General features: G+C 51.5%; 1 protein-coding gene and 1 pseudogene across 4 annotated transcripts in view, besides 6 other annotated features; both read right to left on the bottom strand.

Moving 5' to 3' along the window:
* Window positions 31-100: a silencer, noted in NCBI's record as "silent region_17945". NCBI's record gives its function as "represses an Ori minimal core promoter by ATAC-STARR-seq in GM12878 lymphoblastoid cells {active_cell/tissue: GM12878}" and the evidence as "EXISTENCE:reporter gene assay evidence [ECO:0000049][PMID:35858748]".
* On the bottom strand, window positions 6,543-6,903 carry RPL31P34 (ribosomal protein L31 pseudogene 34; annotated as a pseudogene).
* GRID2IP (Grid2 interacting protein) overlaps window positions 12,580-20,195 on the bottom strand; it is a 54,684-nt gene continuing 47,068 nt past the window's right edge. For all 4 annotated transcript variants that reach the window (NM_001145118.2, NM_001388403.1, XM_047420365.1 and 1 more), the window contains 7 exons: window positions 19,293-19,489; window positions 18,810-18,965; window positions 18,588-18,674; window positions 17,791-17,920; window positions 17,583-17,701; window positions 13,866-14,030; window positions 12,580-13,647 (listed from right to left, as the gene is read on the bottom strand). In NM_001145118.2, the coding sequence (NP_001138590.1) occupies window positions 13,576-13,647; window positions 13,866-14,030; window positions 17,583-17,701; window positions 17,791-17,920; window positions 18,588-18,674; window positions 18,810-18,965; window positions 19,293-19,489 (926 nt within the window). In that variant the 3' untranslated portion in view covers window positions 12,580-13,575. The remainder of the gene's footprint in view (window positions 13,648-13,865; window positions 14,031-17,582; window positions 17,702-17,790; window positions 17,921-18,587; window positions 18,675-18,809; window positions 18,966-19,292; window positions 19,490-20,195) is intronic.
* Window positions 19,226-19,335: a silencer, noted in NCBI's record as "silent region_17946". NCBI's record gives its function as "represses an Ori minimal core promoter by ATAC-STARR-seq in GM12878 lymphoblastoid cells {active_cell/tissue: GM12878}" and the evidence as "EXISTENCE:reporter gene assay evidence [ECO:0000049][PMID:35858748]".
* Window positions 19,456-19,505: a silencer, noted in NCBI's record as "silent region_17947". NCBI's record gives its function as "represses an Ori minimal core promoter by ATAC-STARR-seq in GM12878 lymphoblastoid cells {active_cell/tissue: GM12878}" and the evidence as "EXISTENCE:reporter gene assay evidence [ECO:0000049][PMID:35858748]".
* Window positions 19,516-19,845: a silencer, noted in NCBI's record as "silent region_17948". NCBI's record gives its function as "represses an Ori minimal core promoter by ATAC-STARR-seq in GM12878 lymphoblastoid cells {active_cell/tissue: GM12878}" and the evidence as "EXISTENCE:reporter gene assay evidence [ECO:0000049][PMID:35858748]".
* Window positions 19,896-20,065: a silencer, noted in NCBI's record as "silent region_17949". NCBI's record gives its function as "represses an Ori minimal core promoter by ATAC-STARR-seq in GM12878 lymphoblastoid cells {active_cell/tissue: GM12878}" and the evidence as "EXISTENCE:reporter gene assay evidence [ECO:0000049][PMID:35858748]".
* Window positions 20,126-20,175: a silencer, noted in NCBI's record as "silent region_17950". NCBI's record gives its function as "represses an Ori minimal core promoter by ATAC-STARR-seq in GM12878 lymphoblastoid cells {active_cell/tissue: GM12878}" and the evidence as "EXISTENCE:reporter gene assay evidence [ECO:0000049][PMID:35858748]".

A 20,195-nucleotide genomic window follows, 5' to 3' on the forward strand; every position in this document is an offset into this window, starting at 1 on the left:
GCGCGCGCGCGGGGCACCCTGGGAGAGCGGGGCCAGGCCCCGCCCCTTAAAGGGGGCGCGCCCCAGCGCAGGCTCAGCAGGTCAGCTCGCAGGGACTCCCTTGCAAGAAGACCCCGGACTCTGCCAAATTTTCCCTGCCGGGTTTCCGGCTTCTCCTCGGGTGCCAGCAGTTTCCTTTACTTTTTTGAAATAACACTCCCTGGGGATCTTTTCTTTCCTCCCACATATCAAAAGAGCTCTACAGGCCTATTGTATGAAAAAGTGTAAGAGAAGGCCGGGTGCGGTGGCTCATGCCTGAAATTCTAGCAGTTTGAGAGGCCGAAACAGGAGGATCCTTTGAGCCTAGGAGTTCGAGACCAGCCTGGGCAACCTAATGAGAGTTCCTCCACCCCCCGTCTCTACAAAAATTTTTTAAAAAATTAGCCAGGCCTGATGGTGGGTGCCTGTAGTACCAGCTATTTTAAAGGCTAAGGCAGGAGGATTGCTTGAGCCCAGGACATCGAGGCTGCGGTGAACCATGATTGTACCACTGTATTCCAGCCTGGACGACTGAGTGAGACCCTGTCTCAAACAAAACAAAACAAAACAAAACAAAAAAAAGTACAAGAGGAAAAAAATTGATTTCTGATTGCCTCACTCAAGATAAGGTCAACATTGAAGGTGGAGGTGGAAGATGCAGTTTATGTAGGGGTCTGAAGATTTTACCATTCTGGGGACTGTCTTTAAGAAAGAGAATCCAAAATTAGGTAGAAAAGTGAACGTCTGACCGGGCGCGGTGGCTCATCCCTGTAATCCCAGCACTTAAGGAGTACGAGACGGGAGGATCACGAGGTCAAGAGATCGACAGCATGCTGGCCAACGTGGTGAAACCCCGTCTCTACTGAAAATACAAAAATTAGCCGGGCGTGGTGGCACGCACCTGTAATCCCAGCTACTCGGGAGGCTGAGGCAGGGAGAATCGCTTGAACCTGGGAGGAGAAGGTTGCAGTGAGCTGAGATGGTGCCACTGCACTCCAGCCTGGCGACAGAGCAAGACTCCATCTCAAAAAAAAAAAAAAAAAAAAAAAAGAAAAAAAAGAAACTTGAATATTTCTACGGGATGGGGACGTCACAAGAAATTGCAAACAAAAAAAGCTGACAAACAGGATCTGCTACATAATTTGCGGGACGGAGTGCAAAACAAAAACGCACAGTTCGCAGTTCAAAAAGCAGGGCGGGGGCGAGGACCTGGTGCGGTGGCTCATGCCTGTAGTCCCAACACTTTCGGAGGCCGAGGAGGGAGGATCGCTTAAGCTCAGGAGTTCAAAACCAGCCTGGGCAATATGGCAAGACCCTGTCTCTGCTAAAAATACAAAAAAAAAAAAAAAAAGAAAAAAAGAAAGAAAAATAGCCAGGCATGGTGATGCGCACCTGTGCTCCCAGCTACTCAGGAGGCTGAAGTGGGAGGATTGCTTGGGCCCAGGGGCCAAAGGTTGCATTGAGCGGAGATTCCACCACTGCACTCCAGCCTAGGCAACAGAGTGAGACCCTGTCTCAAAAAAAAAAAAAAAAAAAAAAAAAAAAAAAGCTGGCCAGCTGCCTTGGCTCACGCCTGTAATCCCGGCACTTTTGGCAGGTCAAGGCTCGCGGATCAACAGGTTAAGAGATCCAGAACAGCTGGGCGCGGTGGCTCACACCTGTAATCCCAGCACTTTGGGAGGCTGAGGCGGGTAGATCACGAGGTCAGGAAATCGAGACCATCCTGGCTAGCACGGTGAAACCCCGTCTCCACTAAAAATACAAAAAAAATTAGCCGGGCGTTGTGGCGGACGCCTGTAGTCCCAGCTACTCCTAAGGCTGAGGCAGGAGAATGGCGTGAACCCGGGAGGCGGAGCTTGCAGTGAGCCGACATCGTGCCACTGCACTCCAGCCTGGGCTACAAAGCGAGACTCCGTCTCAAAAGAAAAAAAAAAAAAACAAAAACATCCCGACCATCCTGGCCAACATGGTGAAACTCCATCTCTACTAAAAATACAAAAATTAGCTGGGCATGGTGGCGCGCGCATGTAGTCCCAGCTACTCAGGAGGCTGAAGCAGGAGAATTGCTTGAACCCAGGAGGCAGTGGTTGCAGTGAGCCAAGATTGCACCACTTCGCTCCAGCCTGGCGACAGAGCGATACTCCGTCTTAAAAAAAAAAAACAACAACAACAACAAAAAAAACCGCAATGCGGGAAAGTGTTGTTAAAATCCTAAAAGATAAAGCTTTTTCCTTTTGCAGTCTCTTTCTCGACTTGCGGTATTTCTTGTTTGCTATTTAACGTCATTCTAAGTAAAGAAGAATTAGAAAATTTTAATAATGACCATGAACTTTCCCATTTGTCTTTATTTTATTTAGAGATGGAGTCTTGCTCTGTTGCCCAGGCGGGAGTGCAGTGGCGCGTTCATGGCTCACTGCAGCCTCGAACTTCTGGCCTCAAGTGATCCTCCTGCCTCGGGCTCCCAAAGTGCTGGGATTACAGGCTTAAGCCATCATGCCCAGACCGGCAATGTCGATTTTGAATGCAAATATCAGATCATTTAACTGAGATGAAAAATCCAAGAAAGTACATGATTCGTAGTTCATGGCTTGTCCACGGAGTGTGCCTGGGGCTGGCCAGAGGAGATAGGCATAGGCCAGACACAGGAAGGTTGGAAGGAAGGGGTGGGGGTCCATCAGGCACAGAGCTGGCTGAGCGCACACCTTGGGCATAGGGATGCTAGATGGGCCAGTGTAGACAGTCACGTGCTCCCCTGGTGCACATGAGCATCTACATTGAACGCGGAGGCGATATGCATTTGGGCTTGACAGGTGCTGCTTTCCTCTCCTGCCAAGTGACCGGCCAGTGCAGGGAGGTTGAGTCAGACATCACCCCTTTCTATGCAACACCACCCCAAGACCTGGCAGAAGGCAACCTTCAAGGGTATTGCAACCTTCATGCAAGGAACCCGCTAGGTACCTGGATCAGGAGTGGGGGTGAGACTTACCTCTGCTGAATTGCCCACCAAATGCACCAGGGCACCACCCACAGTGAGCAGCCACCACCATGGCCTGCCCAAAGAGGCACAGGGCATATGAGTCTGGTCTTACCCACTGTTACCTGGCCCGACGCACTCTGCACCCACGCCCAGGCCCCCAGCTGAACAGAGGGCAGCAGTGGTCACTGGGCAAGGGCAGAAATGGGGAGACCAGGCTGCTAGACTGGTTCTCTGCTCAGAGAACCCATCCTGGGGAGGCAAGAGGTGGAACCATGTGTGTGCCCAGGCTTCCAGTCTCTATTGCGTGCTCCATTGTCTCATCTGGGCTTCACAAAACACAAATCCAAAGCTGAAATTTTCAGGATGGTGACTGCAAAACATTAAACCTTGAGTGTTGGCCCTTCAGAGCACTGTACGCTGGGAAACTGCACTGTTGTACTAGAAGTCAGCTCTTCTCACAGATAATGAAGAACACAAAATTCAGAAAATAATACTTTTATTGATTAACTACCTCACGCACTTCTGTAATAGTCTTTTCTCTACAGATGTATACACATATATACATATATGCGCATATATGCATACACATTTATATGCATGTATGTCTATGCACATATATGCATATATGCACATCCTTATATATGCATATATGCACATGCGTATATACATATATATGTGTATCACATATATAATATATATGCATATATATGTGAGTGTGTGTATATATATTTTTGGTTGTTGTTGTTGATGTTACATCGAGACACGGTCTTCCTCTGTTGCCCAGGCTGAAGTGCAGTGGTGCAATCATGGCTTACTGCAGCCTCGAACTTCTGGCCTCAAGTGATCCTCCTGCCTCAGCCTCCCAAAGTGCTGGGATTACAGGTGCACACCACTGTGCTTGGCTTTTTCTTACATTTTTGTCACCGTACACTCTTTGATTGCCCCTTCATGTTTCCTATAGTGAGAATAGAAAAATTGTCTTTTCTCTAGCATTGTTGATTGAAAAAAAATTTTTTGATACTGTGGAAACATTTCCTTTATCTTCTCTACTTGTTTTGGGTACTACCCTGGAAATTTTTAGGGCCACTGTCACATTTGGGAAACTCTCACATTTCTTTCACAGAAGAGCTGCAAGATTTCAGGGTACTTGTAGTTTTCTTGTGCAGGGACTAACGTGTGATACTTTTTGGATTTGTAATACTAGTTTTGTTTTGTTTTGTTTTGAGACGGAGTCTCGCTCTGTTGCCCAGGCTGGAGTGCAGTGGCGCAATCTCTGCTCACTGCAAGCTCTGCCTCCCGGGTTCACGCCATTCTCCTGTCTCAGCCTCCCAAGTAGCTGGGACTGCAGGCGCCCACCACCACCCGGCTAATTTTTTGTATTTTAAGTAGAGACAGGGTTTCACCGTGTTAGCCAGGATGGTCTCAATCTCCTGACCTCGTGATCCACCCGCCTCAGCCTCCCAAAATGCTGGGATTACAGGCATGAGCCACTGCACCCAGCCTGTAATACTAGTTAACCAGATTGTTAGCACTCCTTGTATGTAAATAGTTCAGTGCTTTTGGATATGACACTTCCCTTGAGAGGCAGCTTAATTCTCCTTCCCTACAATATGGGATGGGCTTAGTGACTTTTTATTCTTTTGAGAGAGGGTCTTGGTCCATCACCCAGACTAGAGTACAGTGGCTTGATTATAGCTCACTGCAGCCTCAGCCTCCTGGGTTCAAGTGATCCTCCCACCTCAGCCTCCTGAGAAGCCAGGACAACAGGCATGTGTTGTCCAGTTGGCCAACTACACATGGCCTGTGACTCACTTTTTTATTTTTTTATTTTTTTGAGATGGAATCTCACTCTGTCACCAGGCTGGAGTGCAGTGGCATGATCTCGGCTCACTGCAACTTCCGCCTCCCAGGTTCAAGTGATTCTCCTGCCTCAGCCTCCTGAGTAGCTGGGATTACAGGCGTGTGCCACCACAGCCAGCTAATTTTTTTGTATTTTTAGTAGAGACAGGGTTTCACCATGTTGGCCAGGCTGGTCTCGAACTCCTGACCTCAAGTGATACACTCACCTCGGCCTCCCAAAGTGCTGGGATTACAGGCGTGAGCTACTGTGCCCAGCCCCAGTGACTCACTTCTTTTATTTTGTTTGAGACGGAGTCTCGCTCTGTTTCCCAGGGTGGAGTGCAGTGGCGTGCTCTCAGCTCACTGCAACCTCCTCCTGGGTTCAAGCAATTCTCCTGCCTCAGCCTCCCAAGTAGCTAGGATTACAGGTGTGTGCCACCACATCCAGCTAATTTTTGTATTTTTAGTAGAGGTGAGGTTTTGCCATATTGGTCAGGCTGGTCTCGAACTCCTGGCCTCGTGATCCACCCACCTCAGCCTCCCAAAGTGTTGGGATTACAGGTGTGAGTCACCACACCTGGCTGACTGACTTCTAATAAAAAGAATATGATAGAGATGCCAGCTTGTCACTTCTGAGACTAGGTCTAAAAGGTGTTGCAGCTTCCTCCCCTCTCTGTCAAACCACTCCCTCTGGGGAAAGCTAGCTGTCTGCTCATGAGGACACCAAAGCAGCCATCTGTAAAAATCCACGTGGTAAGAAACAGTCTTCTTATTAGCAGCCAGAAGGGGGCCTTCTGCCAACAGACAAATGATTAAACCATCCTGGAAGGAAGACTCCAGCCCCAGTCAAGCCTTCAGATGAATGCAGCCTTGGCTGATGTCTTCACTGTAACTGTTGGGGAAAAAATAATGAAAATAATATCTCCTGCTAACCCAGTAAAACTTCTGCTCCAAATGTAGAAAAGAATGAAATAGTTTTATTAATGAATCAGCATCAGACTAGACTGTGATGAGCATCACTGGCAGTCCATCAAAGTGATTTCAAAGGCAAAACACCAGGCCAGGCACAGTGGCTCATGCCTGTAATCCCAGCACTTTGGGAGGCCAAGGTGGGTGGATCACCTGAGGTCAGGAGTTCAAGACCAGCCTTGCCAACATGGTGAAACCCTGTCTCCACTAAAAATACAAAAATTAACTGGGCATGGTGGCGCACACTTGTAATCCCAGCTACTCGGGAGGCTGAGGTAGGAAAATCACTTGAACCCAGGAGGCAGAGGTTGCAGTGAGTCAAGATCATACCACTGCACTCCAGCCTGGGCAACAAAGTGAGACTGTCTAAAAAACAAAAAAATACAGAACACCCTTTTATATAGGAAGGTAGATACAATCCATTACATACCAATTAATAGTCTTTACCCAAAAGAAAAAAGAAAACTTCTTATATTTTTGTCTTGTTTTTATTTTTTATTTTATTTTCACTTTTTGCTGGGATTATAGGCACACACCATCACACCCAGCTAAATTTTTTTTGTATTTTTAGTAGAGACGGGGTTTCACCATGTTGGTCAGGCTGGTCTTGAATGCTTGACCTCAAATGATCCGCCCACTTTGGCCTCCCAGTGTGCTGGATTACAGGCATGAGCCACCGCACCCGGCCTAAATTTCTTTTTTAAAAATAATTTTACTTAATGTATTGAACCATCAGTGGTTAGCTCTCTTCCACATTGCCTGTCTATAGATTTGTGAAAGTGGTAACAGGTATATGTAGGAACCAAAGCATAGAGCTTGTCTGGTGAATCTTCATCCTCATTAAGTTTTCTGGGCAACTTCATATGGATATGGTATGGGACATTCCTTATTCCTTTGGCCCAGAGAGCTTTGTTGAGCCTCACATCAATGTGCAAATTTGGAGTCCCCATCTCCTTCATGGCGAATTTCTGGATCTCTCTGTGTGCCCGAGGGGCACTTCTTGAAGCCCACTCCACCCATGCGCTGGTGTATTCTGGGGTAACCGCCTCACTAATGGCGGAACGACCTTTCTTCTCGCCACCCTTCTTTGCAGAAGCCATCCTGCAAAGCCCCAGTTGGAAAAGGTGGAATCAAATTTCAACATGAGGTTTGGATGGTACAAACATCCAAACCATAGCACCCAGTAAAACTATCTCTTAAGAACCTGGGTAAGCCAGGTGCGGTGGCTCATACCTGTAATCCCAGCACTTTGGGAAGCCGAGGCAGTGGGTCGAGATCGCACCACTGCACTCCAGTCTGGGCGACAGAGCAAGACTCCATCTCAATTAAAAAAAAGAAAAGAAAAGGGGAAGGAGAGGGTAGCAGCCGCCGAGGTCTAGAACTGTCCAGCATGCTGCGTGGACAGCGGTGGGAAGGGTTTATTTACCAGTGAAGGGGAAAGAGCTAGTTGATAGTGATTTGTGGTCACTGATGGAGTGAGAGCTTGGGAAGGCAGGTGCCCAGCATAGACAGGGAATTCACTCTGAATTGGAGGAGTGGGGAGGGAGGCCTGGATGCCCTGTGATGAGGATGGGAGCCGATGCATACAACTTTGTAGAAGAGGCATGGGGTGGGAGAATCCTGTCTGATAGAATCTTTTTTTTTCTTTTTTTTGAGATGGAATCTTATTCTGTCGCCCAGGCTTGAGTGCAACTGCACGAGCTCAGCTCATTCTAACCTCTGCCTCCCGGGTTCAAGCAATTATCCTGCCTCAGCCTCCTGAGTAGCTGGGATTACAGTCCCCCACCACCACGCCTGGCTAATTTTTTCTATTTTTAGTAGAGACAGGGTTTCTTTGTGTTGGCCAGGCTGGTCTCAAACTCCTGACCTCCAGTGATCCACCCTCCTTGACCTCCCAAAGTACTGGGATTACAGGCATGAGCCTCAGTGCAGCCTCTGCTTGATAGAATCTTTTCTCTGTGAAGCATCATCAACTCATACAAAAATCTTTGAGGCCTCCTTGAGACTAAGGACTATTATATCTTTGGCACCTGAAAGGAGGGTGTTATGGACTGAATTGTATCGCTCTCCCTCCACCACCAAATTCGTATGTGGAAGTCCTAACGCCCAGTATCTCAGAATGTGAGTGTATTTGGAGAAAGGTAATTAAGGTTAAATGAGGCCACATGGGGAGGGGGCTTAATCCAATAGGACTGGTTTCCTTAATCGAAGAGGCAGAAGCCTGGACAACATAGCAAGACCCCATATCTACAAAATTAAAAAAAAATTAGCCAAGCATGGTGTTACATGCCTGTGGTCCCAGCTACTCAGCAGGCTGAAGTGGGAGGATTGCTTGAACCCACGAGCAATCCTCCATATGTCTGCATTACTTGGTGTTTACTGCATGAGCCATGATTGTACCACTGCACTCCAGCCTGGGTGATAGAGCAAGACCTTGTCTTTATGAAAAAAAGAAGAGGCAGAGTGCAGTGGCTCACACCTGTAATCCCAGCATTTTGGGAGGCAGAGGCAGGCCTGAGGTCAGGCGTTTGACACCAGCCTGGCCAACATAGTGAAACCCTGTCTGTACTAAAAATACAAAAATTAGCCAGGTTTGGCAGTGTGTGCCTGTAATCCCAGCTACTTGGGAGGCTGAGGCAGGAGAATCACTTGAACCCAGGAGGTGGAGGTTGCAGTAAGCTGAGATCGCGCCACTGCACTCCAGCCTGGGTGACAGAGCAAGACTCCATCTTAAAAAAAAAAGAAGAAGAAGAAGAAAGAAAGAAGGAGGATAGAGGAGGAAGGAGGAGGAGGGAGGAAGGAGGAGGAGGAGGAGACAGAGACGGAGATGGAGAGGGAGACGGAGACAGAGAAGGAGAAGGAAGAAATGCCGGGGAGAAAAGACCGAGTGAGGACACAGGGAGAAAGCTTGTCTGCAAGCCAAGGAGAACAGCCTCAGGAGAGACCCAACCTGCTGACACTTTGATCTTGGACTTCCAGCCCCCAAAACTGTGGGAAAACACATTTTTTCGTTTAAGCTGCCCAATCTATGGTATTTTTATCATAGCAGCCCTAGCAAACGAATAGACGGAACAGGAAGAGAGAAAAGAAGTAAGGGTTTTATGTTGAAACCCCCAGCATCTGTGGCCCTTAGAGTGCTGATACGTGTGTGTGTGTGTGTGTGTGTGTGTGTGTGTGTGTGTGTGTGTGTGTGTGTGTGTGTGTGTGTGTATGGCAGCTATTTTCACTCAGAGGATGGGGCTTTTGGATTTAGACAGACTTGGGTTTTAGATCCAGCAAGTCACATAACCTTCCTAAGTTTCAGAGTTTTACTTGCAAAAAAGAGGTAATGAAATCCACCTTGGGTTTTTGTGAAAGTAAAATGAAATGAAATCCGTAAAAACACTGAGCACACTAACGAACCACTCACGGATATTACTATCTGGAAAGGTGGTGTATCGTGAGGCTACGTTATTTTGTTAGTATTATTGGAGATAAATGAATTCCTGAGGCATAAGTGCCTGCATTCACACCTTGTCATTTGGTGAGGAACTAGGGGGTCTGGGTGGATATGGTACAGATATTGAGTCACATACAGGGCTTTGCACTGACTCTGGGGTAGAACCACCATAAAACATAACCCCAGGTAACCAGACTCAGAGAGGCTGCCTTCTAAGATGCTGGTACCTAGCAACGCACCTGGCACACAGTAGGCAATTAAAAAGCACTGGCCGGCCTGGCGCAGTGGCTCACGTCTGCAATCCCAGCACTTTGGGAGGCTGAGGCAGGCGGATCACGAGGTCAGCAGTTTGAGACCAGCCTGGCCAACATGTTGAAACCCCATCTCTACTAAAAATACAAAAATTAGCCGGGCGTGGTGGCACATGCCTGTAGTCCCAGCTACTCAGGAGGCTGAGGCAGGAGAATCGCTTGAACCCGAGAGGCAGAGGTTGCGGTGAGCCGAGATTATCCCACTGTACTCCAGCCTGGGCGACAGAACAAGACCCTGTCTCAAAATAATAATGATAATAAAAATATATAAAATATAAAAAGCAGGCCAGGCGCAGTGGCTCACACCTGTAATCCCAGCACTCTGGAAGGCCGAGGAGGGTGGATCACGAGGTCAGAAGATTGAGACCATCCTGGCTAACACAGTGAAACCCTGTCTCTACTAAAAAATACAAAAAATTAGTTGGACGTGGTGGCGGGTGCCTGTAGTCCTAGCTACTCGGGAGGCTGAGGCAGGAGAATGGCATGAACCCGGGAGGCAGAGCTTGCAGTGAGCTGAGAGATTGTGCCACTGCACTCCAGCCTGGGCGACAGAGTGAGACTCTGTCTCAAAAAAAAAAAAAAAAAAGGCATTGGCCAATGAGTGCAGGAAGGAAGAGCACTCACTGAGTACTGAACATCTATCAGCATCTGTTAATGGGTCTGTTAGTTAACCCTTTCAGGGTTGTAAGTAATAGCAACCATTCAAACCAGCCTAAGCCAGGGAATTTAAATACATTTAAAATTCTTTTAAATGTAAGGAGAATCTGTTGTCTTGAAGACTGACAAGGCCAGTGTGTGCTTCAGGTATGGCTGGATCCAGGGACAGTGGGATGTATATGGTGATCTTCTCCCCGTTTTTTCTCCTGTGCTAGCTTTATATCCAGGCAGGTGCCCTTCATATGGTGGTCTTGGCAGCCCCTCCTGACTCCTACCTTCTATACACCCAGAAATTCCAGAGCAAAGGGAATCTCTTTTTCAAACAGTGCCAGCCGGAGGCTTGGACTGACTCTGAGCCACACAGCCAGAGTCACAAGATCATCTTTATCCAATCACTCCAGCTCCAGGCCCTGGGAGTAGGGGAGAGATAATTTCTGAAACGAGAAACAGGAATCCTTTCCCAGCAGAAGGGCGAGACTGGTTGCCAGGCAGGCAGACCACACTGCCCACCGGACTAAGTATCTATTTCATTTATTTATGTATTATTATTATTATTTTTTGAGACAGAGTCTCCCTCTGTCACCAGGGCTGGAGTTCAGAGGCGCAATCTTGGCACACTGCAACCTCTGCCTCCCAGGTTCAATAGATTCTTGTGCCTCAGCCTCCCGAGTAGCTGGGATTACAGGCGCCTGCCACCACACTTGGCTAATTTTTGTATTTTTAGTAGAGACAGGGTTTCACCATGTTGGCCAGGCTGGTCTCAAACTCCTGACCTCAAGTAATCCACCTACCTCGGCCTCCCAAAGTGCTGGGATTACAGGCATGAGCCACTGTGCCCAGACTGGACTAAGTATCTGGATAGAAGTCAGGTAATTCATGGGTGACCAGGTAAGACACAGAAGCATGCCACCTGGTGAGTACATGGGGATGGGGAACCAGATCTGTGCTGGGTCCAGGCAGCACCAGTGCCATTGGGGATTTTAAGGAGGCTGGGATCTGCACCCCTGGCCAAGAGGTCATCCAGTAGATTAATTGCAAAAATGCTCCTGATTCTCCATCTGTCCCTGAATCCTCACCCTGTGTGGAGTGGCTTTGCGATATCTCCTAGCAGAGCCTGTTTCCCTTCCCCTAGAATCAGGGCTGGCCTTGTCATTTGGATGGACAGCAGATTGTGGCAGAAGGCACGGTGTACCAGCTCTGAGCCTCAGCCTCAAGCCATCTTCTGTGCCTTTGGTTGTTCACCTTCTTTGACCCCCAGTCCCCTCATGAAAAAAATCCTGGCTATTTGGGTGCAAAATGAGAGACCCCACAGGGCTATCCCAGCTTTTCCAGCCAAAGGCCCCAGACATGAGATTGCTTGGTATGATTACCAAAGCTGCCTAGCTGACTCATAGCTGACTGAAGATGCAGAGCCTAGCTCAGATCAGAACTGGGACCCAGAGACTTGTGAGCAGTAAGTGATTGCTGTTTGAAGCCAGTGAGTTTTGGGACAGTTTGTTATGCAGCGTTGTTGTAGCAAACAACCAATAAAAGGCATGCTAGGGAGAAAACCTAGCTGGTGCTTGGCCTGCCACACTGTGCAATCAAGAGGTTAGGTCTCCTGGAAGGGACATGTGTTTCTAACTTGCAGGAAAATGCCATGTGGGCTAACCAGGCCTGGAAATCACGCCTGTTGGAGTCTATTATCTCTACAGATCTTATGCAGGGTTTTTTTTTTTTTTTTCAAATGGAGTCTCACTCTGTCGCTCAGGCTGGAGTGCAGTGGCAGGATCTTGGCTCACTGCAACCTCCGACCCCCAGGTTCAAGCAATTCTTCTGCCTCAGCCTCCCAAGTAGCTGTGAATACAAGCGCGTGCCACCACGCCCGGCTAATTTTGTGTATTTTTAGTAGAGATATGGCTTCACTATGTTGGCCAGGCTGGTCTTGAACTTCTGGCCTCAGGTGATCCACCTGCCTCAGCCTCCCGAAGTGTTGGAATTACAGGCGTGAGCCCCCACGCCCTGCCTGCAGAGGTTTTAACTGACCTCCTGACATGTTTCCCAGAGACACAGGCACTGGGAACTTTTGGAAACAATTCTGCTTGAGCTGCTAGGGTGAAATGTACCCCACTAGCCACATCCCCCTTGCAGTATATATTTTGGTTTTGATGTTTTTGTATGGTGCTTGTGTGCAAGGAACAAAAAAACAAAGGTGGCTTCCAAGAGGGGCCTAGGGGAGACTGGGAAGAACTGAACAGGTTCCCAGTACTGCCCAGGTGCAATGTAAGCCATTTGATTGCAGTGGGAGAAAAAGAATCCATGAGACAGGATTAAAGCCCATTTCAGACTTTTCCAAAAAAAAAAAAAAAAAAAAGTGCAACGAGGGAAGCTGTCTGATCCAAGGATCTGTCAATCAGAGAATTTTAAAAAAGGTGAAACAGTTCACACACCCTCCCTCCCTGCCCACCACGCCACCTGCTCCTGCTCCTGGTATCCAGGTAACTCCTGCTATATGCCTAGGCACATGTAAAATGACCATTTGGGTCCCAAACACATCCCAGATTGTGTCATCTGCCCCCACACCTGCCCCGGTCTCATGACTTGCTCCAGGGAACATCACCATCCGTCCAGGTGAGAAGTCTGGCAGTTGGCCACCAGATCCTGCTCACCTCCTGCCTCAACACCTCCCCATTCTGTCTGCTCTACCTTGACCACACCTATTCCACTCCCAGGCTCCCCACTTCCAATTGGGCCACCTCTACACAGGTTTGGGTTTGTCCACTGCATGAAACCTCAATTCCGCAGTCTGACATAGGGGGTCTTCCTTCTCCAGTCCTTCCTTCCCTGCGTCTCTCCCAGGCTTCTCTCTTCCTGTGTCCCTGAAGCCAGCTTCCAAGGCCCAGGCTGGGCGTGCACATCCCCAGGGCCCCTCTACATCCGGCTTTCTGCCCTCTCGCGTCTCGCGCCTGCCTGCAGGGTCGTGCTCAAGGGTGTCGGCCCCCTCACAGGGACCCACTAGGAGCAGGATCAGAAAAAAGGTCCACATGTCCCAGGAATGTGGCCACTTTGTAATCCACCCTCCAGGCCCCCCTGACAGCCTGGGAGCGAAGTGGGAAGTGGGCCCAAGAAGCCGACAGAGCACGGTCCTCCATGTGCAGGCACACTCAGCACCTGCTCCTACAGCATCTGGCTCTGGGCCTGGGGGTAGGAACAAGGGCTGGCAGAGGAGGGCCCGACCACAGCTCGGCGGCTGAGGTAGCTGCAGGAGAGGCTGGCGGTGTGCTCAGAGCCCGGGGCACAGTGGCCCCGGACCTCGGCAGTGTCTGGGCTGCCCTCTCGGCCTCCATCTCCCTGCTCAGGCCGCAGAGGACGCGGTGTGGCCACTGTCACCAGGCCAGGGGTGAAACCATCCCGGAGCTGCGCAGGCCCTCCCCGGCCTGCAGGTCACTCAGCGCTCGCTGGGGAGGGGGAACACAGAGGTAGGGTGGTCAGTGGTCCCAGGAACCTGTGACGCCTTCCCTGTCTCTTCCCACACTAGACAGCCCATCAGGGGGTTAGGGGGACATGTCGCTCACTGGAGCCCCTTTCCCAGCCCTGGCTTCATGGAGGATCCCTTCATTTGGCCTCTGGCCCCCACCTCTCCAAAAGGGCCCCTCAGGGCTCCAGCGAGGCTCACCTCGAATTTGCTCATGAACTCTGCAAAGATGCCGAAGAAAGCCTCAGAGGTGGTGGCCTTGGAATCCTCCCCAAAGAAGGCCAGCGCCTTGCCCAGCTCCTCCATGGCCTCGCGCTGCAGCCCGTCGAGCGCCCGAAGTGCTGGCTGGGCCGTCTCCAGGAAGGACTGACAGGCCTCAGTTAAGGAAACAGCCAGCCCGCTTGTGCCCCCAGGGTCTCAGGTGGTGGCCCGACAGACAGGTCCCTAGCAGCCCTATTCCCGGTTGGCCTGAGTCCTTCCAAGGGCCAGGCCCTGTGTCCAACAGGGAACCAGGCCCTGTTCAGGGACTCTAGTCCCACTGGCCACTGAACTCATCCTGGAACTGGCCACAGCCAGTGCAGCCTCAGGCCATTCACCCCTGTTCTCTCTGCAGGGCCAGGCCCTGGGTCTCTGATCAGAGGCTTCCACTGCCACCTTCTTCCCCAACCACTCATTTACAGTAGGCCCCTCTGTCACTCTCTAGGCCTTACTTTTTTTTTTTTTTTTTTTTTTTTTGAGACAGGGTCTTATTCTGTCGCTCAGCCTGGAGTGCAGTGGTGTGATCACAGCTCACAGATCATTCCAGCCTCTACCTCCCAGGCTCAAGTGATCCTCCCACCTCAGCCTCCCGAGCAGCTGGGACCAGAGGTTTACACCACCATACCCAGCTAATTTTTTGATTTTTAAAATAGAGATGGGGTGTATGTTGCCTAGGGTGGTCTCAAACTCCTGGGCTCAAGTGATCCTCCCACTTTGGCCTCCCAAAGTGCTGGGATTACAGGTGTGAGCCACTGCACCTGGCCTTAGGCCTTACTCTGTTTTCTAGAGCATTTGTCATGATCTGAAATTGTTCATAAGTTCATTTCCTACTGCCTAAGTGAAAGCTCGCTCCCTCCTTGCACCTCCAGGGCTTAGAATAGCATCTGATACATGGTCAGTCTTGCAAAAAGATTCAGTGGCTGAATCGCTATCATTTTTTCAGCACTTAAAATGGTGCCGAGCTTTGTTCCAAGCTTGTTGAATCATCGTTTAACACCTCTATGAGGTAGATTATCTCTATTTTACATGTGAACAAATTAAAGCACACAGGACTTTAGCAACTAGCCCAAGATCACACAGCAAGCACTGTGGTGCCTGAGCCACGGTTGAACCCACCAGGGTCACATCAATTAATGACCACTGTGGTAGAGGTTCTCATGACCCCTCTTTTTCCTGATGAGAAAACTGGGCTCACAGAGGGTAACTGACTTGCCCATAGTCCCACAGCAGGTAAGGAAATGAGCCAGGATTTGGGCCTATGCCTGTCTGATGTGCCAGGTCAATTTCCTTTGCAGAGGCTGCCTTTAATTAATTAATTAATTAATTTTGAGACAGAGTCTCGCTCTGTTGCCCAGACTGGAGTGCAATGGCATGATCTCGGCTTACTGCAATCTCCGCCTCCTGGGTCCAAGTGATTCTCCTGCCTCAGCCTTCTGAGTAGCTGGGATTACAGGCACATGGCACCATACCTGGCTAATTTTTGTATGTCTAGTAGAGACAGGGTTTCACCATGTTGGCCAGGCTGGTCCCAAACTCCTGACCTCAGGTGATCTGCCCTCCTTGGCCTCCCAAAGTGCTGGGATTACAGGCGTGAGCCACAGCGCCTGGACTGCCTTCATTTTATTTTTGAGACAGGGTCTCACTCTGTCACCTGGCTACAGTGCAGTGGTGTGATCATACCTCACTGTAACCTTGAACTCCTAGGCTCAAGTGATCCTCTAGCCTCAGCCTCCTGAGTAGCTGGGACTACAGGCATGCACCACTATGCCAGACTCATTTTCAAATTATTCTGTAGAGACGCGGTCCCCCTATGTTGCCCAGGCTGGTCTCAAACTCCTGGCCTCAAGCAATCTCTCAGCCTTGACCTCCCAAAGTGCTGGGATTACAGGCATGAGCCACTGCACCTGGCCCAGAGGCTACCCTTGAATGTGACCATCCATCTTCTCTCTGGGGACCTCCAAGCCCAAGGAAGCCGCCAATACCCCTGGACTGAGGGATGCTAGAGTGGACTAACCCTTACCTAAACAGCCTCAGTTTTCACATCTGCAAAACATCTGGGTGGGCCGGGCACAGTGGCTCACACCTGTAATCCCAGCACTTTGGGAGGCCGAGGCAGGTGGATCATGAGGTCAGGAGTTTGAGACCAGCCTGACTAACATAGTGAAACCCCATCTCTACTAAAAAATACAAAAAATTAGCCGGTTGTGGTGGTGGGCACCTGTAATCCCAGCTACTCGGGAGGCTGAGGCAGAAGAATTGCTTGAACCCAGGAGGTAGAGGTTGCAGTGAGCCGAGATCGCACCATTGCACTCCAGCCTGGGCAACAGAGCGAGACTCCGTCTCAAAACAAAACAAAAATCCGGGTGTGAAGTGGGTGAAAGATGGGGGTGAAAAGCACCTTGCCCAAGCTGTAGAGTTTGCTTAGTGATTCTCTGCAGATCTCCTGCCTGAGAGGAAAGGGCAGGGGTAGATCTGACATCAAATTCCTACTCAGACACTCACCCGCACCAGGCCCCATGTGCTGCAGTCAGAGGAATGTGACAGGGGCTTTCACCACCTACTGCCCTGGCCACAGGCACAGCCCCCAGAGCTCTCCCCCTTACCTAGCTTCAGCATTAGGGAAAACCCTGTGTTCCCTGCCAAGGGGTGTTGGAGCCAGAGAGGGGGAGCAGCGAGAACTGCCACATGCCCTTCTTTCCTGTCTTCCCATCTGGGCCTCTGTCACCCACTGGCCAGGCCCTGTTTGGAGGCTCAGTGGGAATGTCCCACCCTCCTGACTGCCTTTGGCTGGTAGGGCCTGACAGGCTGCTCCTTGTAATTTTGACACTTAGCTCTGGGCTCCACTGCCCCAGAGGACAGATGGTACAGTGGCTTTGGGGCACTCAAAAGAGCTCTGGCTTCAGTTTCACACAGACTTGGCATAAGCACTTGGATTATAAATGACCCAGGGCTAAGCACAGTGGCTCAGGCCTATAATCCCAGCACTTTGAGAGGCAGAGGCAGGTAGATCACCTGAGGTCAGGAGTGCAAGACCAGCCTGGAAAACATAGTGAACCCATGTCTATACTAAAAATACAAAAATAAGCCAGGTGTGGTGGTGGGTGCCTGTAATCCCAGCTACTTGGGAGGCTGAGGCAGGAGAATAGCTTGAACCTGGGAGGCGGAGGCTGCAGTGAGCCAAGATCGTGCAACTGCACTCCAGCCTGGGCAACAGAGCAAGGCTCTGTCTCAAAAAATAAATAAAATTAAACAAACAAACAAATAAATAAATAAATAAATAAATTTATAATCCAGGATGGGACCTGGTGTTGTGGCTCACACCTGTAATTCTAGCACTCTGGGAGGCTGAGGCAGGCAGATCACTCGAGCCCAGGAGTTTTAGACCAGCCTGGGCAACATGGCAAAACCTTGTCTCTACTAAAAATACAAAAATTAGCCAGGCATAGCCTGGGTGACAGAGTGAGACCCTGCCTCAATCAATCAATCAATCAATCAACAACCCAGGATAGAGCCTCTTCCAGGACCCCTGGGTGCACAGCAACCTGTGTCCAGAATCTCTGCTGGAAGTCGAGGTCTCCAGCGGCCACTGGAGCCACAGCCAGCTCTACCCAACCACCCCAGGATCCAGCCTGGTGCAGGAACAGGCTGCTCAGAGGATGCCGACATGACCATTGCAAACTTGTCCTCGCTAGAGGGGGAAATGCTCTGGCAGGCATCCTGTATCTCGCTGATAGTGCCATGGAGGTCAGCCAGGTCACTGGTCAGGGCCCGTTGGTTCACTGTAGGGAAGAGGACAGGGGCTGCATGGGGCCACTCTCCCAGCCCAGGACAGCATGCCTCTGCCTCCCCATCCACCCACCCAGCATACCTTTGGCAGCCAGGGGCACGGTGGGCAGGTCCTGAGCAAAGCCCAGGAGTTCAGGGAAGTGCTGGCTCAGCGATTTGGCAAGGATGTGCAGGAAGGTGGACTTCCCATCCACTGTCTTGGTGGAGTTCAGCTGCAAGTGACCCCCAATATACATTCCCGTCAAGGACCCCATCAGATGGGGTCACATGGGCCCAGCTTCTCCTGGACTACTGTGGCATCAATGATGAATTCTTGGCGCCCCCACTTTTTTTTTAATAGCAGGGTCTTGCTCTGTTGCCCAGGCTGGAGTGCAGTGGCTCCATCATAACTCACTGCAGCCTCAAACTCCTAGGCTCAAGCGATCCTTCCACCTCAGTCTCCCAAGTAGCTTGGACTACAGGCCTGTGACATGCCTAGCTAATTATTTTTGTAGAACTGGGGTCTAGCTATGTTGTCCAGGCTAGTCTCCAACTCCTGGCCTCAAGTGATCCTCTCACCTTGGCCTCCAAAGTGCCGGGATTACAGGCATGAGCCACCACACCCAGCCCAATCCCCAGCCTTTGACACTCTCTTTCCAACTCTCTTCCCTCACTCCATTTTTCCAGATCCTGGGAGTGTGTTCCCCCACCCCACCCCACCCCACCCCACCCTTTGCTGCAGTCACATCCTGGCTTCAATGTGGCCCTTTTCCTGCTAGGAGGAGAGCCCTCCTTGGTCACGATGTCCTCTTCTGCCCTCTGCCACAACTGAGCTAGGCCTGGCGTTAGCGCCTTGCTGGTAGAGCAAACCAGTCGATTGCTGCCGGCAGGTCCCCTCACCTCTGTCAGAAAGTTGATCTTGAAGCCCGTAGTCTTGTTGGTTTTGGGCTGTCCATCGTTGAGATAGTTGCCCATGGCCAACACAAACTGTGGACAAGAAGGTGGGTAGGTCCTGTCCTCACCCCACCACCCATCCACCCTGCTGTCTGGATGGGCCTCCAGGCTGGAAGCCCCAGGAGGCAGAGAAGCAGATAGGGTGCCAGGAAGGGTACGCCCACTGACCTCCAGGATCTTGGCGAGCTTCCGACTGTTTTTGAGCTCCAGGGAGGCCTGGCGCAAGCATTCAAGGCTGCCTCGGATCTCCTCTGTCTTCTCCTGGAGGGTGGCCTGGAAGTGGAGGCTGCGCAGGCGTGTCTTGTATTCGGGAACTGACAGCATCTGCCTCGAAGGCAGAGCCAGGATTCACCCATCCCCTTCCTGGGACCCTCTGCCCCACCGCAGGCTTTGGGGTGGGAGGGGGGGATCTGCTGGCTGCTTCGGCCCGATATTCCGGTAGGAAGAATAAGCACGATCCCTGGGGGAGCCCGCCTCCCATGTACCTTGGACCCCTGATAGGACCCGGCCATTAAAGGTGTTAAACTGGGACTCAGAGGCTTGGGCGCAATGGCGGCCCCCGAAGGCGCGCGGGACCCCAGCAGCCCTGGCCACAGCGACAGCCCCTGTGGAGCCGGCCGAGGCCTCGGGGCGGGGTTGTGGTCGCGGCACCTGCAGGACGAACTGGTCCGGCTCGCTGAGGCGGCCGGGCGCCTCGCGGAAGGCCTGGTAGCGCTGCTCCTCGTCGGCGTCGGGCGCGAAGAGCAGCAGCTGCGCGAGATGTGCGGGCTCCAGGCGCCGGGGCTCCATGCTCATCAGCACCTGGCGCAGCTCCGCGGGGCTCAGCTTCAGGTGTGCCAAGAGGATGGCTGCGGGCGGGGCGGGGCGGTGAGCTGGGCGGGGCCGGAGCGGGGCCGGATGGGACCCAAGACGGAGAGGGCAGGGCAGAGGCGGGGAGAGGGCGGACACGGGGCGGGGCCTAGGGGAGAGGACGGGGCCTTGAGGCTGGAAGGACAAGAAACGCGGACGGGGACAAGAGGCTGAGCTGAGGCGGCTCCCGAATGGGGAGAGGACGGCGCTTCAATATTGGCCTGGGCTAAGGGGAAGAAAAAAGGAAAGGGGGCGGGGCCGCTCGGTGAGCAGGGGCCGGGAGAGGGTGGGGCCTGGCAGGAAGGGGGCGGGGCTTCCAGGTTGGCCCAGGATACAGCGGGGAATCTGAAGGGGCAGGGGACAAGGGAAGCAGGTAGACCTGTGAGGCAGAGCTGGGGCGGGGACTGGGCTACTGGAGGAACTCTAGAGGGGTGGGGGTCAATGAACAGGGCGGGGTCTATGAGGCTAAACTGAGGCGGGGCCCGGGTGGAAAGAGGGCGGGGCTTTGGGATTGGCCGGGGCTACTGTGAGGAGCCTGGCGGGTAGGAGCAAGGAAACTGAGCGGGGCTGCTGGTTGAGTTCGAGCGGGGGGAGAGGGCGGGGCCCAGCAGGGAGAGGGCGAAGCTTCCAGGTGGGCTTCGGCTACAGGGAGGAGACCGAATGGAGGGGACAAGGAACAAGGGCGGGGCCTGCGAGGGGTGCCGT

This window comes from Homo sapiens, chromosome 7, assembly GCF_000001405.40.
Source record: "Homo sapiens chromosome 7, GRCh38.p14 Primary Assembly".
NCBI classification, from domain to species: domain Eukaryota; kingdom Metazoa; phylum Chordata; class Mammalia; order Primates; family Hominidae; genus Homo; species Homo sapiens.